The sequence below is a fragment of the Homo sapiens genome, chromosome X, assembly GCF_000001405.40.
Source record: "Homo sapiens chromosome X, GRCh38.p14 Primary Assembly".
Lineage (NCBI taxonomy): Eukaryota > Metazoa > Chordata > Mammalia > Primates > Hominidae > Homo > Homo sapiens.
The window spans coordinates 126195034-126219837 of NC_000023.11; the positions used below are offsets into that span (position 1 = coordinate 126195034).

Here is a 24804-nt window from a genome sequence, read left to right on the forward strand (position 1 = left end):
TTACTTAATTTGTAAAAATTTACTGTTTTCCATTAATGATGACAATTAAGAAATAATATAATTTTGATACTGTGCATGTGGCAGTTCTAAAACATTATAGACCTTTGTTGGATGCATAGTTTGTGAATATTTTCTCTCATTCTTCAAGTTGTTTGTTTACTCTGTTGAAAGTTTATTTGGCTGTGCACAAGCTCTTTAGGGTGTAACTAGGTCTCACTCGTCAATTTTTGTTTTTGTTGCAATTGCTTTTGGGGTCTTAGCCAAAATTTCTTTGCCAAGGCCGATGTTAACAAAGGTATATCCTAGGCTTTCTTCTACAGCTTTTTAAAGTTTAAAATCATATATTTAAATCTTTAATGCATTTTGAGTTAATTTTTGCATATGGTGAAAAGTAAGGGTCCAGTTTCATTGCTTTCATCATTGCTTGTTTTTGTCGACTTCATTGAAGATCAGATGGTTGTAGTTGTGCAGCTTTATTTCTGAATGTTTTATTCTGTTCCATTGGTCTATGTGTCTGTTTTGTACCAGTACCATGCTACTTTGGTCACTATCACCTTACAGTATAGCTTGAAGTTGGGTAATGTGATGTCTCTGGCTTTTTTTCTTTTAGTTTAAGATTGCTTTGGTTATTCAGGGTCTTTTGGGGTTACATATGAATTTTAGAATAGTTTTTTTCTAATTCTGTGAAGAATGACATTGGCAGTTTGATAGGAATAAAATTGAATCTTTAAATTTCTTTGTGCAGTATGGCCATTTTAATGATATTGATTTTTCTAATCCATGAGCACGGAATGTTTTTCTATTTATTTGTGTCATATCCGATTTCTTTCAGCCGTGTTTTGTAATTCTCATTGTAGAGATCTTTCACCTCCTTGGTTAGCTGTATTCCTAGTTATTACATTTTTTGTGGATATTGTAAATGGGATTATGTAATATGCAGAATCAATAAGAAACTTACACAAATCAACAAGCAAAAACCAAAGAACCACAATAAAAAATGGGCAAAGGACATGAACAGACACTTCCCAAAAGAAGACAACAAACATATGAAAAGAAGATCACCATCCTAATCATCAGAGTAATGCAAATAAAAACCACAATGAGATGCCATCTCACACCAGTCACAAGGGCTATTATTAAAAAGTCAAAAAATACAACAGATGTCGACACGTTGCAGAGAAAAGGGAATGCTTATATAATGTTGGAGGCAATGTAAATTAGTTTAGCCACTGTGGAAAATAGTTTGGAGATTTCTCAAAGAACTTAAAACACAGCTACTATTTGACCTGGCAATCCTATTAGTAGTCATACTCCCAAAAGGAGAGAGATAATTATACCAAAAAGACACATGCATGTTCATGGCAGCACTATTCACAATGACAAAGATGTGCAATCAGTCTAGGTGCCCAACAATGATAGATTGGATAAATAAAATGTGGTTCATACACACGATGGAATACAAAAAGTAATGAAATCTTTTCCTTTGCAGCAACATGGATGGAACTGGAGGCCATAATCCTAAACAAATAAATGTAGAAACAGAAAATCAAATACTGCATGTTCTCACTTAAAAGTGGGAGCTGAACATTGAGCACGTGGCAACATAAACATGGGAACAATAGGCACCGCAGACTACTAGTGAGGGAAGTTAGGGAAGGGGGTGTGGGTTGAAAAACTACCTATTGGTTTCTATGTTGATATGGTTTGGATGTCCCACCCAAATATCATGTCGAAATGTAATCCCCAGTGTTGGAGGCGGGGCCTGTTGAGAGATGATTGGATCATGGAGGAGGATTTCTCATGAATAGCTTAGCATCATTCATTTAGCAACAGCACCCTAATGGTACTGTATTCATGATAGTGAGTGAGTTCTCATGAGATCTGGTCCTTTAAAAGAATATAGCACCTCCCTCCACTCTCTCCTGCTCCTGCTCTAGCCATGTGACATGCCTGTTCCCCCTTTGCCTTCTACCATAATTGTAAGTTTTTTTAAATACCTCCTCAGAAGCTGAGCAGATGCCATCATGCTTCCTGTGCAGCCTGCCTACAGAACCATGAGCCAATTAAACCCCTTTCCTTTATAAATTACCCACTCTCGGGTATTTATTTATAGCAATGTCAGAATGGACTAATACATATGCTCACTAGATCGGTGAAATATACCCATATAACAACCCTGCACATGTACCCCTGTATCTAAAATGAAAGTGGAAATTAAGAAAAAAAATAAATCAAAAAGGTTTTGATTAAATTGGCAATGTGGTAGTCATTTTAACATATTCTAAAAAAATTGGATAGTGGACTCATTTGCAAGATTATCCACACCATAATCTATGCACATGTTAATATTTGACTACCTAAATACAGATAATAATAGCACACTTATATAATGCTTACTATGTGCTAAGCATTGATCTAAGCACTTTACATTATTAAGTATCGCTTTGTGGATGAGGAATCTGAAGCAAAAACATTATATCACTTGCCTAAAGTCACTTGGCACCTAAGTGGTGAAAAGCAGATATTTCAACTTTAGAACCAGCACTGTTAACCAGTATACTGTACTGCTCTAATGGCTATCCACTTGAATTGAGGGAAGGAATATTAAAATGCTTCAGTTTTCAAGTATTCCAGCTGATACAAAGGATATTGGATCTTATCAAGGCTCTACAAATAACAAATGGCTTACCCTTGAACAAGTTGCATCAACCCTTTGAGCTTCAGTTTCATCATCCAGAAAATGGGGATATGAATATGGTAGTAAGTAAATTTCCTTCACTTTTACAATTTTATGTTTCTATGACTTTCCCAGAGTATAAAGAAGTGGGAATAAATGCATCATCTACTTACAATGTAGAGAAAAGAAAAAAAGACCATTGATTCTTAAATTCATTTTGATTTATGCCTTGCAAATGGATGTCCAGCAAGGTTATAAACAAACACTAGTTTCAAATGTTATGTTTTCCACTTAGAAAACATTCTGTCCTACATCTTTATTTGGATCACTCATACTGATGCTTTAAGACTTCTATCAACTTTTAACTCATTCAGGAAACCTTCCTTTTTCTTCAGGAAATATTCTTGTTTTATTGCCATATCACACACCAAGGGAGATGACCTTCATTTTAATTATATCTGTGCCTTTGTACTCTTCTTCCTGCTGTTCTATAAAACTCTGCATCTTTTTTTTTTTTTTTTTGCCTGGCTGTTTTCCACTCATTTTTTGATAGCTTAGGCATTATCTTTTCAAGTGTCTTTTCATTGGCTTAACCTCCCTGCCAAGGTGGGTTGAATCTCCCTCTTTAAGTTTCCAATACCATGTTGCAAAGATCTCTTTCAGAATGCTCAACAGATCGTATTCAAATGATATACATGCTTGGCTTCCTCAATAATTGTATGATCCAAGATGATAAAAGTCATGTTTTATTCATCCTATATCCCCAAACCTAGAGGCATTGCCTAGAATGAAATAAGTAATCAACACAAATTTGATAAACTTAACTTAAATGGTGATCTGTGGAAGACATAGACTCGGCGTTGTTCTTTACTTCATCCTAAAGAGAGGACAATGACATTGTATTTGTTTTTACCTTATAGAAAAATATGAGAATTAGTAAGACAAAGTACTAGTTTGAAGTCTTAAGACTAGGTGATATACAAAGAAGCAACACATAAACCAGCTACCATTATACCTCATAAACATCTGAGCAGTGATAACATTTCTGATAATAGTAAATTATATCGTATGAAGATGGATTTATTTTATGATAGAACAACTAAAAAGGTTACAGTGAACTTACAAGGTGAATCTCATTTAAGTTAACTTTTCAAAATAGAATAAAATAAATATTTATTTAAATAGAAAGTAGCATGGAATGCTGTTTGTTAAACTTTTCCCATTGGTGCTCTCAGCAGCTGTGATCTGGGGCTTAAATGAGAGTTAAATACACGAAAGAAGATGCTGATAAATTAATGATGAACATGGGCATAGCTCATTAACAGCCTCTTAAGTGGAAACTAGCATAAGAAAGAAAATTTAAACTTGAAAACATTTTATTGAAATCCTTAATTCCTATAAATATACAGTAAATCTTTTTTAAAAAGGACAATGGAACATTTCCTTGGCCCCTGTGAAGCATAATTATTCTCTCCCTTGCTCTCTCACTCCCTCCTTTCTATCATTTAAGAAGCACAGGCACTTTGATAGACCCTAAAGGGAGGGTTAAGATATAGAAATGAATAATATATAGTCTTTAAATCTTCTTGCACATGATGGGACTTATAGAGAGATCCAAAAGTATAGTTCAGTCTAAAACTAACAGGTTCAAAAAAATTCATAACGTTACCATTACTATAGACAAAGCTGTACTTGTTTATACATTGACAATTCAGAATTAATAAGGTATTTTTATTCTTTCATAAGTCAGTCCTAGTTGGTATGAATATAAGCATTTCATATCAGTTCATTTGGGAGTGATCTTTTGTTGCAAATAATTATGTATTCAAGTTTTTACTTTAATGAAAATATTATTAGAGACTACAAGGTAAAAGCATAGATACTTTTATGCTTTCCTTTCAAATGTGTATGTTTCATTGTGTTTGGATTTACAGACTGATACTGTATCTGTAAATGACATCTCTGATTATATCATTCCTCTGATATAGGCAGTTTTACTTAGTGAGACACAACACTGGAAAGAACTGTCAGACTAAGTATTTCAAAAAGGATGGATTAACAACAAGAGAGTTAAAGGACATTGTGATGGATTGGACAGAAAGCTGTTAAGTATGATCCCATGGTATAAGCAAATGTGGACATGGTGTTTTATGAGAATAACAATAAAATTGTGCACATTTTTAAAGAATAGCATTTTAGAATGTTGATTATACTCATCATTTCAGCACCAGAGCATCACAGAATCTCCATTAGTTAAAGAAGAAGATTCATTTTGTAATTCACATTACTATTTGAGGTATATCAGTAACATCAGTAATAGTTACCTTAGGCTACTGCAACAGCAAAGAAGGAAAAAAAAAGCCTACGTGGTTCATTTCATAAGAGAAGACATAGAGTCCTTGGAATTGAGATGCCACACTTGAACACATTTAGTGTTCAGCAAATAATTTCTGAATGTCACTGATCCTAGATCGTTTTTAAAAAGCTACTTCCCTTTACTTTGAATGATTTGTTATGCTGCATTTCATTACTTTTCTCCTTACTTTGTTCTTCTTTTGTTTTAAAATAAGTGACGAGATTTTCGGTGAAGATTAAGCACTAGCAGGCAGTAATGCAATGGCCCAAACACAGTTTTAATTGGAACCTCAAATCCTGTGAAAAAATAAGAAATTAAATCATTAATAAAATGCATTTCCCAGATGACACTATGTTGATATATGTTAAGAAACCTCCATTATTTTCTCCCATGAGATTCCTATAGCCATAATTGCAAAATGTAAAATTCACTAGTTGTGCCATATTAAGGTTATTTAATGAAATTCAGGCCCTTATAAAGTTTCAAGTATCAAACAATTAATAAAAAATCTATAGGAATTTTCCTTTTACAAAACATTAGCATTGTTATGTCAACATTAATCCTCATGTTTCCTTACAATGTTAACAGTACATATTTAGTATGTTGCTTAATGCAATCCTGGAAGTACTACAGAGATATTTCAATATGACCCAAGCAAAACTAAGGCACAATGTTAAATGATTCAAGCTGCCACATAGCTCAAAGTTTAGAAAGAAATGTCATATCTCTGGAAACTTGAAAAACTCTAATTACAAATGCTACGATTAAAGAAAATCATGAACACAACCTTCTAGTGAGTTATAGGCTATACCAGGCACATGACTACAGTGCACTATAAAACAAACGGAAGACACATTGAGGGGGATAAAAGATTTATGATCCTATCTAAAAGACCACTTCATTGTGCATTTGGTCAACTAACAATTATTAAGCAGCTCTGGACCCAGTTTTGCTTAAGAGTAATGCAAAAGTAGTATCTTGAAGAGCTTAAATCTAGTGGTGGGGATCAACTGCAAATTTAACAACTACGAATGGATCCATACATATTAATGAAGCTAGCAATGATTAACTGAGAAAGTAGCATTTTATTTTACTTTATAATTGCTTTACAATTGCAATTTCATATGTACTAAAGTATGCATATATTAGATACATATATTTCATGACATGTTATATAAATACATGCCACTTTTATGCGTCTCTTTTTACTATTCTGTAGCGAACATAAACAATGAAAAATGATATAGAGTATAAACCTTAAAAATTGTCTTTATTTCCCCTTGCCACACTGATTTAAAATGGTTATTTACTGGTAAACATTTAAGCAGAGAAATCTAAAGCCTGTACTAGTGGCATTTAAAAGGTTACATATTTCTTCAAGTGTATTCTATCAATTATAACCTGCTGTTGTATTGCATATATTCTGTCATATGTGAATGAGTAGATGTATCTAAAAGATTATCAACATGATTGCAACTCTCCTCTGCTTCTAGCTGTTATCTCTAACATATTATCTTAATATTATAACAGTATTTTGCATTTTGATAAACACATTCAGATTTACTTTCAACCAATACTTATTGATCATTCAAAATATTATAGGTGTCATGTAAAATAAAAATAAAAACATAAAATCAGACATGAATTCTCCCTTCAAGGTGCTTACAGTCAAGCAAGGGAGATGGCAATTCATTACTAAAAGAGAAGGTAGAATATGATGAGTATAATAAGAAGCATAGTGAGGAAAACGTTACAATAGAAGAAAAAAAGTTTGCTTTCACCTGTGAGGATCAAGGAAGGTTCTGTGAAAGATGTAGAATTTCTGCAGGTCTTTAAAGCTTTGAGCAATTAAAGACCAAACGACATATTTGGCAGACAGAAAACTGCATGGGAAAAGATGAAAAGGTACAGGAATAAAGGAAAGTGCAGGGCATATTTGGAAACTAGTAGGCAGCATTATTTAGCTAAATTATTTGATACATGTATTGTTGTAGTTGAGGTAGGTCCTGAAGGATAGACAGTGGAGACCTTTAAGTATAAGCCTTAGGAAGTAGAACTCCTTACTCTAGGTAATAAGACTCACTGAAGTTTTCCAGCAGGGAGTGATGTGATAGCATTTTGCTTTAGAAAAATTAATCTTTCAGAAGTATAAATGATAGATTTGAGAGTTTGAAATAGAAGCAGAAGGGAGGGTGTGGCGGCAATTAGGGAGCTTTTGTGATGGTCCATATGAGAGATATTACGGGTGTGAATTCAAGCAAAAGCAACACAAATGAAAAAGATAGAACAAATGTGAAAAATGCTTTCTGTAGGTACATCATGCAGACAACATGCTTCTAAAATGCTGAACCTGGAGAACTGGGAGTATAGCAGTATCATTAATAGTGATGGAAAATACAAAAATAAACTAGTAGTTTTGGTAAATAAGAGAATAGGAGGTAAATTTGGTTTATTTTAAATTTGTAGTGCTGGCAAAAGATGACCTGAAGCATGTGGAAAGGTATAACTGGTGTCCAGAGAGTTTTAGGCTGCATAAATAGATGTCAAAAGCATCTGCATTTATTCACACAATTAACATTTAATGAATACCTAATATATATGGGGTATTGAAAGTATAAAGGTAAATACTATACAGTCTCCTGCCTCAGGTAATTTTCTTATAGGAGAGAGAGACTAATCAAGAATTATAATTAAATATGGAAAGTTCAATAATTGTAGTTTGTATTAATGTAATTATACAAACAGGGAACCTGATATATCTTGACAGAGTCAAAGAACAAGTCTGAAAAGAAGCTGACACATGGCCTGAGTTTTAAAGGATGAGGAAATATTTGCCAGATGGAGGCGCAATATTTTAAATGGAAGTAACAAAAAGAGAAAAGATATGAAGGCAGTTAACAGTGTGGTGTGTGTGAAAATCTTACCAGTGTTTGCTGGAACAAAAAGGAAAATGTGGGAGGTGCAAAACCAAATGTAGTTTAGGATTAATAAGTACACATTTTTGAAAACCAAAATAAGACACGGATTTATTTAGAAGTCAATGGAAAACAAATGAAAGCTTTTGTATACAAGGGTGATTTGATTAGATTTGTTTTAAAATATTAATACTGTAGAGGAATGTAGGATTAATTAGAGTGGGGGGAGATTGTAGATGGAGAAAATAGGAATCTACTTCTAAATTCCAAATAAAAATGAGGAGGACCTTAAACGAAGATATTAATGGTATAAATAATGAAAATAGGGGACAGGTCAAAATTATATTATAGAGGGGGGATTGACTAGAGTTGATTGCTATGATGTGGTGGGAAATCACAATCATACAGTTTATAACCACATTGTTTAAATTACTTTTTTCTATACATCTTCCATGTAGGTTACACAACACATCTGACTACCAATTGACCTGAATCAGCCTCTCTTGCTAAACAAATACTGTATTAGGTCTAAAAATAATTCCTCACCATAGTTATTGTCGACATGTGTATAGCTGTGACAGAATCATAGTTTACTTAGAATTCATGAAGAAATGTTTGTAAGTACAAAGTACTTTTTTCTTTCTTATTTCTTCTTTTGGTTTACTGTCATTTGCAGAACTTAGGAGAGTTGGCTTTAAGCAACATTGTGCTTAATTCCCCTATTGTTCCATAGACTGAGTCTAAATGGAATTCACTTTCAAATTTACTTGTTTTATCCAAGTCATAATTGCTTGACCTGTGAATCAAAAAAGTTGGCTATGATATACAATTAATGATTTCGTCTTGTATTTATGTGTATTTCTTTCGAAAGACCATTTAAAATAGTAAAATAGTGTACATGATCATTCAATCTCCATCCCCCTCTCAATATGTACATATATAATGAATAATAGACTCACAGTAGCACACAATTTATCCATATTTATTGGGAATCACTGGAAATTAAGGCATTTTTCCATGTTGAAGTTTTCCATGTTTTCTCTCTTTTTTAAAAAATGAATTGGTACATAATAATTGCGCATATATATGGGGTAGAGTGTAATGTTGCAATACATGTGTAAACTCTGTAATAATAAAATGAGGATAATTAGCATATTTATATCCTTAAACATTATTTCTTTGTGTTGGGAATATCCCATATCTTCTCTTCTAGCTATTTAAAAATATAAACTACATTATAGTTAACTATATTCATCTGACTGTTTCATGCAATGAAACTCCAGAATTTATTCTTCCTATCTAACTGTGACATCGTGCTCATTGACCAGCCTTTCCCCATCCTTCTCCCTATGATATGGTTTGGCTCTGTGTCCCCATCCAAATCTCACGTCGAATTGTAATCCCCACGTGTTGGGGGACAGGCCCAGTGGGAGGTGATTAATCATAGGGGCGGTTCCCCCTAGCTGTTTTCGTGATAGTGAATGAGTTCTCATGAGATCTGGTTGTTTAAAAGTGTGTAGCAGTTCCCCCTTTGCTCTCTCCTGCTCCGTCATGGTAAGACGTGTTTGCTTCAGTTTCTCCTTCTGCCATGATTGTAAGTTTCCTGAGGTCTCCCAGCCATGCTTCACATACAGCCTGTGGAATTGTGAGTCAATGAAATCTTTTTCTTCATAAATTACCCAGTGTCATGTATGTCATAGCAGTGCGAGTACAGACTAATACACCCTACCTTCTCTAACCACTATTCTAATTTCTATTTGTATAAGATAAACTTTTTAAGATTCTACATATGAATGAGATCATGTGGTATTTGTCCTCCTGTGCAAGATTTATTCCACTTAACATAATGTTCTCCAGGTTTAGCCATGTTGTTACAAATGACAGGATTTTGTTCTTTTGTATAGCTGAATAGTATTCTAATATATATATTATATATTACATATATATAATATATATATCACATTTTCTTTGTCCATTTATATGTTGATGGACACTTAGGTTGGTTCCATATCTTAGCTATGTGAATAGTGCTGCAATAAACATAGCCTCACCACAGTTAGAATAGTTATTATCAGAAAGTCAGAAAATAATAAATGCTGGCAAGGATGTGAAGAAGGGGGAACTCTTACACACTGTTGGTGGGAAGGTAAATTAGTACAGCCACTATGGAGAACAATATGAAAGTTCCTCAGAAAACTACAAATTGAACTCCCATATGATCCAGCAATCCCACTAGTGAATATATATCCAAAGCAAAAGAAATTAGTATGTTGATAATATACCCAAGTGAATTTTATCTTTTATAGCTGAAGCACTCTTTCAGTTTGGCTTATTTACTTTAACCATTTGGGGCTTCTTAAACCTATTTTATGCTCTTGGGCTTGCTGTATAGAGGAAAAAAGGTACATAATTCAGTGCTTTCCTAATAGCCTCAAATTATTGCTTTAACATTAATTATTACAGTATTTATGAGACTCAAAGGAACTACTGAAAAATGAGATATTTGTTGGAGCTGGACCTTATTAAATGGATAAATTTTTAAAACGATACATTTGATTTAGTTTTAGTTTTTCTGGTTTCCTTTCCTAACAAGGTGTTAATCATTATTTATCCATTTAATAAGGTCCAGCTTTACATTTAACTCTTTAATCCATCTTGAGCTACTTCTTGTTTATGGTATAAGAAAGGGGTCTGGTTTCAATTTCCTTCATATGGCTAGCCAGTTATCTCAGAGCCACTTATCAAATAGAGAATCCTTTCACTATTGCTTGTTTTTGTCAGGTTTGTTGAGGATCAGATGGTTGGAGATGTGCGATCTTATTTCTGGGTTATCTATTCTGCTCCGTCGGTTTGTATGTCTGTTTTTGTACCAGTACCATGTTGTTTTGGTTACCGTGTCCTGTAGTATAAAGTCAGGTACTGTGATGTCTCCAGCTTTGTTCTTTTTGCTTAGGATTGCCTTGGCTATTCTGGCTCTTCTTTGCTTCCATATGAACTTTGAATTTTTTTTTCTAGTTCTGTGAAGAATGTCAATGGTAGTTTCATAGGAATAGCATTGAATCTATAAATTGCTTTGGGCAGTATGGCCATTTTAACGATATTGATTCTTCCTGTCCATGAGCATGGAATGTCTTTCCATTTGTTTGTGTCATCTCTGATTTCTTGAGCAGTTGTTTGTAGTTCTTCCCATTTTAGCTGTATTCCTATGTATTTTATTATTTCTGTGGCAAATGTGAATGGAAGTTTGTTTCTGATTTGGCTCATGGTTTGACTGTCGTTAGTGTATAGGAATCCTAGTGATTTTTCTACATTGATTTTTTATCCTGAGACTTTGCCGAAGTTGTTTATTAGCTTAAGAAGCTTTTGGACTGAGACTATGGGGTTTTCTAGATATAGGATCATGTTGTCTGCAGACAGGGATAGTTTGACTTCCTCTCTTCCTATTTGAATGCCCTTTATTTCATTGTCTCCCCGGATTGCCCAGGCCAAAAAATTCAACCCTATTTTGAATATGAGTGGTGAGAGAGGGCATCCTTGTCTTGTGCCAGTTTTTAAGGAGAATGCTTCCAGCTTTTTTCAGTATGATGTTGGCTGTGGGTTTGTCTTACATGGCTTTTATTATTTTTTGTTTTCATTCAATGCTTAGTATATTGAGAGTTTTTTTTAACATGAATAGATGTTGAATTTTATCAATAGCCTTTTCTACCTCTATTGAGATAATTATGTGGTTTTTGTCTTTAGTTCTGTTTATGTGATGAGTCACATTTTTTTGATCTGCATATGTTGGACCAACCTTGCATCCTAGAGACAAAGCCTAGTTGACCATGATGGATAAGCTTTTTGATGTGCTGCTGGATTTGGTGTGCTAGTATTTTGTTGAGTATTTTTGCACCGATATTCATCAAGGATATTGGCCCAAAGTTTTTTTGTTGTTGTTGTTGGATGTCTGCCAGGTATTGGTATCAGAATGATGCTGACCTCATAGAATGATTTAGGGAGGAGTCCCTCTTCCTCTATTTTTGGAATAGTTTCAGTAGGAATGGTAAGAGCTCTTCTTTGTACATCTGGTAGAATTCGTCTATGAATCTGTCTGGTCCTGGGCTTGTTTTCATTAATAGGCTATTTATTAATTACTGCCTCAATTTCAGATCTTATTTTTGGTCTGTTCAGGGATTTAATTTCTTCCTGGTTCAGTCTTGGAAGAGTGTATATGTTCAGGAATTTACCCATTTCCTCTAGAATTTCTAGTTTATGTGCATAGAGATGTTCATAAGATTTTCCAATGGAACTCTATTAAAAACTGAGCAAAGGACATTAGTAGACACTTTTCAAAAGAAGACATACACGTGGCCAATGATCATATGTAAAAAAGCTCAACATCACTGATCACAAGAGAAATGCAAATCAAAACCACAGTGACATATCATCTCACACCAGTCAGAATGGCTATGATTAAAAAGTAAAATAATAATAATAATAATAATAGATGCTGGTGAGGTTGTGGGATAGAAAGAATGCATATAGCCTGTTAGTGGAAGTGTAAATTTGTTCAACCATTGTGGAAGACAGCGTGGCGATTCCTCAAAGACCTAAAGACAGAAATACTAATCGACCCAGAAATCCCATTACTGGGTGTATACCCAAAGGAATATAAATATTTCTATTATAAAGACACTTGCACACATATGTTCATTGTAGGACTATTCACAATAGCAAAGACATGGAATCAACCTATATGTCCATCAATGATAGGCTAGATAAAGGAAATGTGGTACATATACACCATGGAATACTATGCAGCCATAAAAAGGAATGAGATAATGTCCTTTGCAGGGAAACTTATTGAGCTGGAGAACATTACCCCAAGCAAACTAAAGCAGGAACAGAAAACTAAATATCACATGTTCTCACTTGTATATGGGAGCTAAATGATGAGAATACATGGACACATAGAGAGGAGAAACACACACTGGACCTATAGGAGGGAGAAGGCTCCGAGGAGGGAGGGGATCAGGACAAATAACTAATGGGTGCTGGGCTTAATACCTGGGTGATGAAATAAACAGTATAACAAACTCCAGTGACACAGCTTTACCTATGTAACAAACCTGCACATGTACCCCTGAACTTAAAATAAAAGTTAAAAACAAAAACAAATACCTTTGCTTTGTGTCTAAAGTGAAAGTTAATCTGATCCAAGTAAGGGCCAAAAGGGCTTGCTTATATGTAAAGCACAATAATCATAGTGCTTGGATTCTGGCTTATGTGCACTAGTGGGCCCACACCTAGACTAGATGGGTGCAGAATGAGGTTTCAGTCCTTCTGTGGTGTACTGGAGCTGAAGCTTCTGTTATTCTAACCCCGTTAGTGATATAATTATAAAAACGTCAAGACTGAGACTGAGGGATCTAATACAGAGACCCTCATTGCATTAGGAGCCAACTGATTTAGGCACTAGATTATTTGTTATTCTATATTTCTAACCCCATTGGTGATATAATTATAAAAACGTCAAGTCTAGGAATGAAGGATCTAATACAGAGACCCTCATTGCATTGTGAGCCAATGGATTTAGGCACTAGATAGTCATAAGCCTTTTATAAATCTATAAAATAATTATGAAGACAAAACAGACACACCTGTGCACACCCTCACACATGAATGTTTTCCAGGTTCTTAATAAAAGTACTAATAAAAGGTAGAGATTTAAAATAATTGGGACTTAAGAGACATAGATTTTTCTCTAGACCTTTTTCTTGTCCTCCGTAGATCTCAATATTGCAAAATATAAATAAGAGGGTTAGGCTAGATAAGCCCTAAGTTGCTTCTGGCTCTAACATTCTGAGTGTCTGTAGTTGTATAAAGACTTATAGAAATGCGCAATCCTTTTTTTTTTTTTTTCTGCGACAGAGTCTTACTCTGTTGCCCCAGGCTGGGGTGCAGTGGCGTGATCTCTGCTCACTGCAACCTTGACTTCCTGGGCTGCAGAGATCCTCCTGCCTCAGCCTCCTGAATAGCTGGGACTACAGGTGTGCACCACTACCCCTGGCTAATTTTTGTATTTTTTGTAGAAACTGGGTTTCACCATGTTTCCCAGGCTGGTATTTGACTCCTGGGATCAGGCAATCGCCTACCTTGGCCTTCTAAAGCATTAGGATTACAGGAATGAGCCACCATGCCTGGTCATAAATGCCCAATCTTTGAACCCAAAACACATTTTGCATTATCAAGTTTGATGTTTTGATTTGAATTTTTCTCCTTTTAAACTGAATGACTAAAACATAAAAAGAAAACCTTTCAGAAACCAGCTTTAGATCAGTGTGGCTTAATTAACCTATCAAAGAAACTTGTCCATTACTTTAATTTGCTTTGAAGGCCAAAGGTACTAACTAGACTGATTGTGGAAAACATTTGAGTGGAACCAATGAATAATGTGGTGCAGTTTGATTGGCAGTAAAACAAAATTCATATGGTGGCCTGCAAAATTGAGATATTTGGTCAAATGTCTTATTTGCATTATAAGCAACTGGAGGATAAGGCAATTGTAATTTTATAAATGATATACCATGTATCAAAGAAAACACTAGAAGAAAAACCTAGTAAAATAGAAGCCTTTGCAGTTTTTCAATATTCCTTGGATTGAAAACGTTTCTAAAATAACTCTAAAGAAATCTGACCAAATGATTTTGAAAATATATGTTCTCCATTCTCTGGGCAGAACTAAAACTCAAATTAAGATAATGCATCATTTAGTCTCAAGTGATTGCAAAATAACTACAAATAGTGGTTAGTATTTATTGAGCACTTACGATTCATTGGTTATTGTCCTAAGTGCTTCAAATCTATTTATTTATCCTAATGGCCCAGTATGGAAGGTGGTAGTATTTTCCTGACTTTAGAAGTAAGGCAATGGAGGCACAATAAGGTCAGTAAATTGCCCAAGATCAAATGCCTAGTAAGTGGTAAAGGCAACACTTGAGCTCTTCAATATTTCTTACTGAGAAAGCTGATGCTTTTATTTATCACTCTACACTGTCATAGTTAGATTAACTAAATTTAACATTGTGTTTAGATAATTAATATTCTGTTTTAGCAAACTAGAAGTGTAAATGAGACAGAAAGAAGAATATTTATCTTACTTAAAAGTAAGCTGTCCAAGTGTTCTCATTGTTCAATTCCCACATATGAGTGAGAACATGCGGTGTTTGGTTTTTTGTTCTTGCAATAGTTTGCTGAGAATGATGGTTTCCAGCTTCATCCATGTCCCTACAAAGGACATGAATTCATCCTTTTTTATGGCTGCATAGTATTCCATGGTGTATATGTGCCACATTTTCTTAATCCAGTCTATCATTGATGGGGGGAGGGGGGAGGGAAAGCATTAGGAGATATACCTAATGTAAATGACAAGTTAATGGGTGCAGCACACCAACATGGCACATGTATACATATGTAACAAACCTGCACATTGTGCATATGTACCCTAGAACTTAAAGTATAATAATAATAATAATAAAAAGAAAAAAATAAAAAATAAATAAAAAGTGAAAAAAAGTAAGCTGTCTTAAATGCATCATTTATTTGCAAGTCACCAATTAGGTCAATCATAACTGTCTTATCTGTTTCTTGAACTAGGATTTTGTAGAACTTATACATAAAATTTTTAAATAAAAATGCAATTATGTGTATATATATATACACATATATATCGGAAAGCTATCTGCATATAACTATGTCTTTCTATTTATCTATCTACCTAGCTATCTGTTTCATTTCAAATTGCTATAATTTAGTCTTTCTTGCTAATTCAAATTGGTTTTAGCTTGGTACCCAGCATTGGTAGTTTCTAATATGCATTATCCTTTATTAAAATGGGATATTTTTCTTATTGAGAATATTTTTCCTTCCACTCCGTTGAAGCAAATTTGGATACAATAAATTCATCTATTTTATGAATACAGTTAGAATTCAGGCAGAGTAAATTATTGGCAATATTTTAGCACCAAAACAGGATACAGTCAGGAGCCCTTCTTACTAATAAATAAAATTGTGTTTCTATTATTTATACATCAATAAAAACTATCAATCACACAATAATGACCAACAATTTCAAGGATCTCTAGTCTCCACAAGAGATGATCTTGTTCAAATTTTGTGGTGCTATGCTCTGGATAGAGTATATGCAGGATCCTTCCAGAAGAGAAGAGGGATCACTAGTGTATCACAAGAGCCTCAGTGTCTGACATATAATAGGCTTTCAATAAGAAGTAGTTCTTGGATGAATTAATGGAATGAGTTATTAATAATAAAAATAATGTTAAAAAACAGTGTATAAACAAATAGACACATTTCTGCAGAAGGGTTTTTGAGAATGAAGCCCAATGACTAGAGATTAATGATAGATTTTCCATAAAAGTTACCTGCAGAGGCATCTAAATTGGAAAGGAACAAGTAAAATTATCTCTGTTTGCAGATGACATTATTTTATATATAGAAAACTATAAAGATTCTACCCTGAAAAAACTGGTAAAACTAATACAAATTCAACAAAATAGCAGGATATAAATATAGCACCCAGAAATCAGTTCCATTTTGGTACACTAACAATGAGCAATTCAAATCTGAGTTAAAGAAGTAATTCCATTTAAAATATCATCAAAAATAATAACATACTTAAGAATAAACTTAACCAAGAAATCAAAATCTTATAAACTGAAAACTACAAAACATTGCCAAAATAAATTGTAAAATACAGAAATAATGGAAAAAAATATGTATTAATGGGTTGCAAGACTTAATATTGTTGATATGTCAATACTACCCAAAGCTATTTACAGATTTAATCCAATTCCTATCAATGTCTCAATGAGGTTTTTTGAATAAATACGAAAATCCATCCTAAAAATCAAACAAAATCTCAAGGGATTCCAAATAACCAAGAAATCTTGAGAAAGAACAAAGTTGGATGTTTCACATTTTCTGATTTAAAAACATACATCATAGCTATAGTAATCAAAATAGTGTACTACCAGTATAGAGACACACATAGACGAATTGAATAGAATAGAGAGTCCAGAAATACACCCTTGCATATATGTTCAAATGATTTTTTTAAAAATCATGTTTGAGACTATCAAAAAGATAGTCTCTTCAACAAATGGTGTTGGGAAAACTGTTATACACAACAGAATACCATTCAGCAATAAAAAGAAATCCTTCCATTCATGGCATCACCGATGGTCTGGAGTACGTTAGGTTAAGTTAAATAAGACAGTAACAGAAAGTTAAACACTATGTATGTTCTTATATCTGAAAGCTAAAAAAAAGTTGATCTCAGAGATGTAAACAGTAGAAAAGAGTTAACTAGAGGCTGGTACCTCCTAGAGGTAGGAGGATATTGAATGTTTCCAACACAAAGAAATGATAAATGTTTGAGATGATGGATATGCTAATTACTCAGATTGTTCACTATACATTATATGTATCAAAACATCACTGTGTACCTCATAAATATGCACAATTATTAGATGTCAGTTAAAAATAAAATAAAGATTATGAACATATTCAAGGCCCCCAAGAAGTTTCCTCATGCCCCTTTATAATAAATTATTTGTTTATTACCCTTTCTCCCATCACTCTATCCCTAGGTAACTCATAATCTGCTTTCTGTCAACATGAGTTAGTATGCATTTTCTAGAATTTGTTATGAATGTAATCATATAGTATGTATTTCTTTTGTCTGGCTTCCTTTTCTCAGAACAGTTGTTTTACAATTCATTCATTTCATTGAGTGAATCAATATTTTATTCCTTCTTTACTGCTGAGAGAATTTCGTTGAATGGAAATGCCCCAATTTATTTATCCATTAACTTGCTGATGGACATTTGGATTGTTTTCAATTTTCATCCATTACAAATAAAGCTGCTATGAACATTTGTGTACAAGTGTTTGTATGAGCATATATTTTTATTTATCTTGGGTAACTATAATAAATACCTAGGAGTGGAATGGCTGGGTTATAGAGTAGGCACATGTTTATCATTTTAAGAAACCATATAACTGTTTTCAAACTGTTTCATTTCACATTACTGTCTTCACTAATAAAATGACTTTTTTAAATGTAAAAAGGAATGAAGTTGGAACCTCATCTTACACCATATACAAAAATTAGCTGAAGCTGGATCAAAGACCTAAATGTAAGAGCTGAAATTATAAAACTGTTTAAATAAAACATAGTGTGAATGTTTTATGACATTGGGTTTGGTAATAACTCCTTGGATATATCAAAAGATGCACAAACAACAAAAGGAAAAATAAAGGAGCTGGACCTCATCAAAATTAAAACTTTTTGCATAAAATGGAACTATCACCAGAATGAAACAGCAATTCATGGGATCAGAGAAAATATTTTCAAATCATATATCTGAAAAGGGATTGATATCCAGAATACATGAAGAATGCCTATAACTCAGCAACAAGAAAACAATCCTATTGAAAAATAGACAAAATAATTGAATAGACATTTGTCCAAATACTGTATACAAATGGAGAATGAACTCATGAAAAAAATGTTTAATATCATTAATCATTAGAGAAATGTAAAATAAAACCTCATTAGTAATTTACAACCATTAGAATGGCTATTATAACAATTAATAAATCAATAACAGAAAATACAAAGTATTGGCAAGAATGTGGAGAAATTGGAATCCTTGTGCATTGCTGGCAGGAATGTAAAATGATGCTACTGCTGTGAAAAACAGCATGGCTATTCCTCAAAAAATTAAACATAAATTACCATATGATGTAGCAATTTATCTTTTGAGTATATGTCCAAAAGAAATGGAAGCAGAAACTCAAATACATACTTATATGCCTGTGTTCATAAGAGCATTATTCACAATAGCAAAAAATGGAAGCAATCCAAGTTTCTATACAAGAATGAACAGACTAAGATGTGGTATATATAATATCCACATCTTAACATATGTAATATATATGAATATTATATATATTATATATATGAATATTATTCAACCTTATAAGGGAAGGAAATCCTCACAGATACTACAAAATGGATGAGGCTGAAAGACAGTATACTAAGTGAAATCAGATAGTCACATAACAACTGGCAGTATTCTCCAAGTCAATATAGAAGTACATACATATATGTGTTTGTTATCTATATGGATATGGAGATATATATGTGTGTGTGTGTGTGTGTGTATATATATATATATATATATAGATAGAGAGAGAGAGAGAGAGAGAGAGAGATGTGTAATATCATTTTATCTTATGTGAACTCCCCATTCTACCCTCACTCCATTCCCTGGCAACCACCATTCTACTGTCTCTATGAATTAAAGAGTAGTGTTGAACAGGTATAGAGTTTCAGTCAGGAAAGATGAAAAGGTTCTGGAGTTGGATGATGGTGATGGTTGCATAACAGTGTGAATGTACTTAATGGGCCATAGAATCGAAGTCTTAAAATGATAAATTTTATGTTACATATATTTTATCACTTTAAAAAATATATTTTTAAAAAGTTACCTGAAGACAAGCAGAGAGTGGCACAGAAATCAGTTCCAAGCTCTGTAACCTATAAACCTATATGATCACAGCTCAAGCACTTACTATCCTTTGTAAAGCCTTATTTTGTTGGTGCTTTGCATTTTGATGTTGCTTTCAGCTTTGTGTGACATCCTGAAGCTGGGTGAAAATTCTCATACTAACAATCTCCAGTCGTAACAAATGCTCCTACCTGAGTTTGTATGACTGCGTTTTTTAACAGCATTTTCATTGTACCCCGATTTGTTTTATTTTTGACCTCCTACAAAGTCCCCAGAAGATAATTTGTCAATACCCACTGCTTTCTATTTGTGATGACAATCAAACTAGCCTAAGAAACACAATTTGTGACTTAGTAAATGATCCATGATGTACTTAAGATGTAGTCTGCCACTTTGTACAAAAAATGGTCCAATTTTTGTGAAGAGGAACATAAGCTAACATGATATTATACATCTCTCCATATATATATATATATATAGACTCGGAGAATACTGCCAGAACTTTAGAGCATTCATGAAAAACTATCACTGACTTTGTTTATATAATTTTTACTGTGATATTATCCACAGGCATATTAACTGTTACCACTTTTAAATGTCCAAAATTTATATTTTAGACATAACAAAGATAAAAAAATACCTGTTCAGAAAAAGAAAAAACCTATGTGATCTTAGGCAATTCACTTTCACTAGCTATTTTATCTCTCTGAATTTATTTCATTATTTTTGAAATTAGAATCATTTTAGCACCTAATTTATACACTGTTTTGAGAATTAAATGAAATAATACAAGTGTTTAGCACAATATTTGGCACATGGATGCTTGATAATGTGGGTTTTTCTTCTTCTTGTCATTGCTGTTGATGGTGTTATCAAGGGCAAGAGGGATTCCTACCATATGTATACTTCCCTAAGACTGTTTTGAGGGGAATGGAATATTCTTCAATATTTGGAACATTAAAAATACTTTAGTCAATGTATTCTGAAGACCCTAAGTTGTCTTTTGCCAATAGCCGGAGGAAAAAATTGTCGGGTTTTGTTGACTAAATGTATATTGGAAGTATTAAAGAGATGATGCCTACATCTGTTGTTGAAGAAAATGCTAAATTTTGATTAAAGATCGGTGAAAATAAATACTTACTATTTCCCTTTCTGTGGCCATAGGCTCTTTGATTTCAGGTTAAGAACCCTCAGGTGAAATAAAGAAACAATGATGTCTAGATATAGAAAGTAGAAAAAATAAAATAAGCTAAAATAATTTGAAGCTTTGTTCCTTAGTACTTAGCAGATTTAGTTAGTTCTATGTAGACAGAGATATAGATTTTTTAGGAGGACTGTTAAATGTGGGGGTTAAAAGATAATACATGAAAACTTCCCATGGGACAGAAATATGAAACTGTAGTACTTGGAAAAGACACGTTAGAGATGAAGGTCATAAAGTAATTTTCATATATATCTATATGTAAATTGGAGAATCTGAATGGTTAACATCCATTCACAAAGAAGGAGTAGAGTTGTGCAGCATAATTTAGTTTAGAATCTGCAATAAAGGAAATAGTTTCTGCTATTTGACAGCTGGAAAAGTTATTTCTCTGTTATAAGGAGATTGGAGAAGATGAACTCTTAAGTTTTCTACCATATTTTATTTTATAATATTATGAGTTTTAAAGAAAATTGAGGATGGAACTCGTCAATACTCATATTTGGGGGTGTAAAGAGAAATAACAGGCAACAAGGCAAACATGAATGATGTGGTCAAAGAGTGGGAAGACATTCAAAATAGTTTACGGTTTAAGAAGAAAGAAGGGAGAGAATTTGATGGAGGGTATGGTTAGCTGTAAATAATTCAAGAAAAGACAGAAGATATTATATAATATTCAATAACACATATCCAGCAGAGTTGTAAGGGGCAAGGGACAGTTTGTAAGCAATTAAGAAGCTATAATGTGGCGAATATAATGAGGCAAGAAATGTAGATTATTTTTAACAAGTTTGCTGTCTGTAATACTAACAAATATCTGGCTCTTGACCGTCTCCCCAGTCTTAGTTTTTGTTTATCTTACCCTCTCTTCACATATTAAAAGCTGCTTCCTTGCTGTATTTTACAATATTTTGTTCATAGTTACCATGCTACTTTTGTTTTTTCTTACAATAAGGAGGTCCAAAACAGGTAACACAGTGAATGGAACATATAGATGCTTTATAGATGTTTGTGGGATGGATACAGTGATAAATGGGTAATAATAGAGTAAGATGAATTTGTACTGCTCCTCAAAATTGCTGATCAAGGGATCAGTGGCGATCTATGGGGAGATCTCCTGATATGTTGTCTGGTTCTGGATTTGGACCTATCCTGATCAACATTTGTATCAATAATGTAAATAAGCACAAAATTTCCAGGTTATCTAATCTGCAGGTTATACAAAGCTGGAGTGGTAACTAGATGTTAGACCATAGAGTCAACATTTACAAATCTCTAGCCTCTCTGATTAGGAGACGAAAGCACATACTTTTATATGCAAAATATTTGCATATAATTTCAGGGGCTAGAGTGATGGACTAAAAATTGAAGACTAAAAAGTAGTAATAAAAGGGAATTTGGCAGGTAAAAGGTAAAATCATATGTTTATATTAAAATATTCAACATTATGTATTTTGCTTGGGGGTGACCTGGCTTTACAGTAAAGTCTGTGCAAAAGGCCTGGGGTTCAAGACCATAAACTGATAAAGAGAAAATTCAGTGCCACTCTTGGTTCTACTGAGGAATATTTAGTGTCCAAAGTAAAGATAAGAGGTATCAGTCCACTGTCTTCTGCATGAGTTGGACTTCACTTAAAGTGGCTTGTTCAGTCACAGAGACACCATGCTCTAGGAGGATCATTTGATAAGGGTGGCTAGGATGGTGAAGAGGACAGGATCATACCATTTATTATGGGTTGAATTGTGTCCCCCCTCAAACAAAAGAAATATGTTGAAGTCTAACCTCTAGTACCTCAGAATGTGACCTTATTTAAATATAGAGTCTTTACAGAGCCAATCAAGTTAAAATGAGGTAATTAGGGTGGGTCTTACTCCAATATTACTGACGTCCTTATTTAAAAAAAATAAAAGGAAATTTGGACACAGGCATGAGTAGAGGAAAGATGATGTGAAGAGGTGCAGGGAGAATGTCATGTGACGATGAAGGCAAAGGTTGAAATTATGCTGCCACTAGCCAAGGGAAGTCTGGGGCTACCAGAAGCTGGAAGAAGAAAGGAGGATCCTTTGTCTACAGAATTTAGAAGAAGCATGGTTCTACTGACACGTTGATTTCAAACTTCTAGCCTCCAGATTTACAAAATAGTAAACTTCTGTCTTTATAAGCCACATAGTCTTGTCATACTTTGTTATAGCAAGGCTAGCAAACTAATAAACCACTGAAGAGCAGTCAAGGAACCAAGGGAAGAGTAGCTTAGTGGACAGGCTGGTTATGATGGTTAATTTTCCATGTTTTTATTCAATGATTCTTAGTGGTAGTTCTGGCCCAGAAAAAAAATTACAGCTTCAGAAAAACCAAGAAAACAGTCAAATCTTTAGCTTCCTGCACTTGGAGTTGTTTTTGGCTCGAGGGAACAAGAAGAATTGAATTTAAGAACTGATTGCCAGTAAGCAAAAATAATGATTAATTTGTTTTTAATCTTCACCCACTTTTCTGTATACTTTTTTTTATTAGATGTCCTGTATTTGTACCACTGACATGTTAATATTAACATATATATATGCACCATAATAATTTTAAGAAATATTTTACATTCTTTCCCAGAGGTTGATGTATTTATTTTCTACTTCTATAATAAAAATGTAAACATATTCTCACAGTTTTGATTTTAGAGAACAACACACAAACAAAAGTTTCTCTGTACATAGCTGGAAACCTGTGGCAGCATTAAACATGTCCAGTAGTTCTACACATTTTAGTAGTTACAACTTAGGTCTGTTTAGCTCTGTCTGATGGATTTTTGAAAAAACTTCCTAGGTGAATAACGAATCCAAGGGGAAAGCAGGCAGGCAGCCAGTCAGCAAGCCAGTGACATCTATGAAATATTTGTTCATCTTGGCAGCCATCCTGGCACTGTGTTTGTCTTCTTGGAATAAGTATCTGATTGACAGATACTTTTTAAATGTGACCAGTGGATAAGATGCCTTTGGTAGCCACTAAGCCATTAGTTCTTGACTAATTAATATACTCAACCAATTACTGAGCCCTGTGAGAAAATATATGCTCTATAGATATGGAGGTAGAATAGGTAGAAATAATATAATTAGTATAGTTTTCTTAGAGAACCCTCCAGAATTCAAACACAGAAGTAGTTGTTAACCCATTCAGAATAGTTAACATGGAAGACTAACCTAAATATTTCACATAAAAATATCCGTATATTTTTTGGAGATTGACAAGGTAAGACAAAAGGAAACAAATCCTGTGAAGAACAATTCCAGTATACAACCTATTTTAGAAGACCTGAGAGATGCAAATTACAATTGTTTTGCCTCAGTGCCTTTCTAGGGCCACAGTCTGGTAAAAAACTGAACGTCTTCTAACAGAAATAGTCTCTAAAGTGGTTTGTAGGCATTTGAAGTCCTAGTCAAGAAGATCCATCAAAGTGTGGGAATAAAATATTAGAATTTATCTTTAATTTTTGTATTCCCCTCTTTTGATTAATATTTTTGTTGGGTTTTATGATGCACTTAATAATTAGTATACTAGTACATGCATATAATTTATAAATGAATAAAATGTATCTGTTTAGATACATGCTCATTTTTTAAATGTGGAAAATATTAGTACCTAATTCCTAGGATTGTGCCAAGATTAAATGAGTTAGTATATGTCACATACTTATAACATCATCTGGAAAATAGAGAGCACTATATAAGGGTCAGTTGTTACTATTACAGTGTACAGTTGTAGGAGATTTAATGAACTCCCCTCCTAGGAATATACGTGGAGAGTGGTACTCAATAAGTGTTAGCTATTATTATTAAAATGGTAGCTAAATATTCTATATACCCAAATCTCACCAAAATGATAGCATAAATAGAAAAAAATATGTATAGATCAGTAACAATCTTGGAAAATTGAGTAGGTGACATTAGTGAGTCAGGAACTATGAGAAATATCTACATATTATCATGTAAATGAGACCAGTATGACATGAAAACCCACAGGACTGAGAAACCACAGTGCAATACAGGTGGAAAAAGACACTGAAGGAAACTGAGTTTTCACATGAAATCATGGAG

General features: G+C 33.6%; 1 long non-coding RNA gene across 1 annotated transcript in view; it reads right to left on the bottom strand.

The window, feature by feature from the left end:
* Nucleotides 1-596: 596 nt before the first annotated feature.
* The window catches only part of LOC107985648 (uncharacterized), a 29376-nt gene continuing 5168 nt past the window's right edge, over nucleotides 597-24804 (bottom strand). The window contains exons 2-3 of the long non-coding RNA XR_001755994.3: nucleotides 5221-5329; nucleotides 597-3554 (exon numbers count right to left, since the gene is read on the bottom strand). This is a non-coding gene — a long non-coding RNA (uncharacterized LOC107985648). The remainder of the gene's footprint in view (nucleotides 3555-5220; nucleotides 5330-24804) is intronic.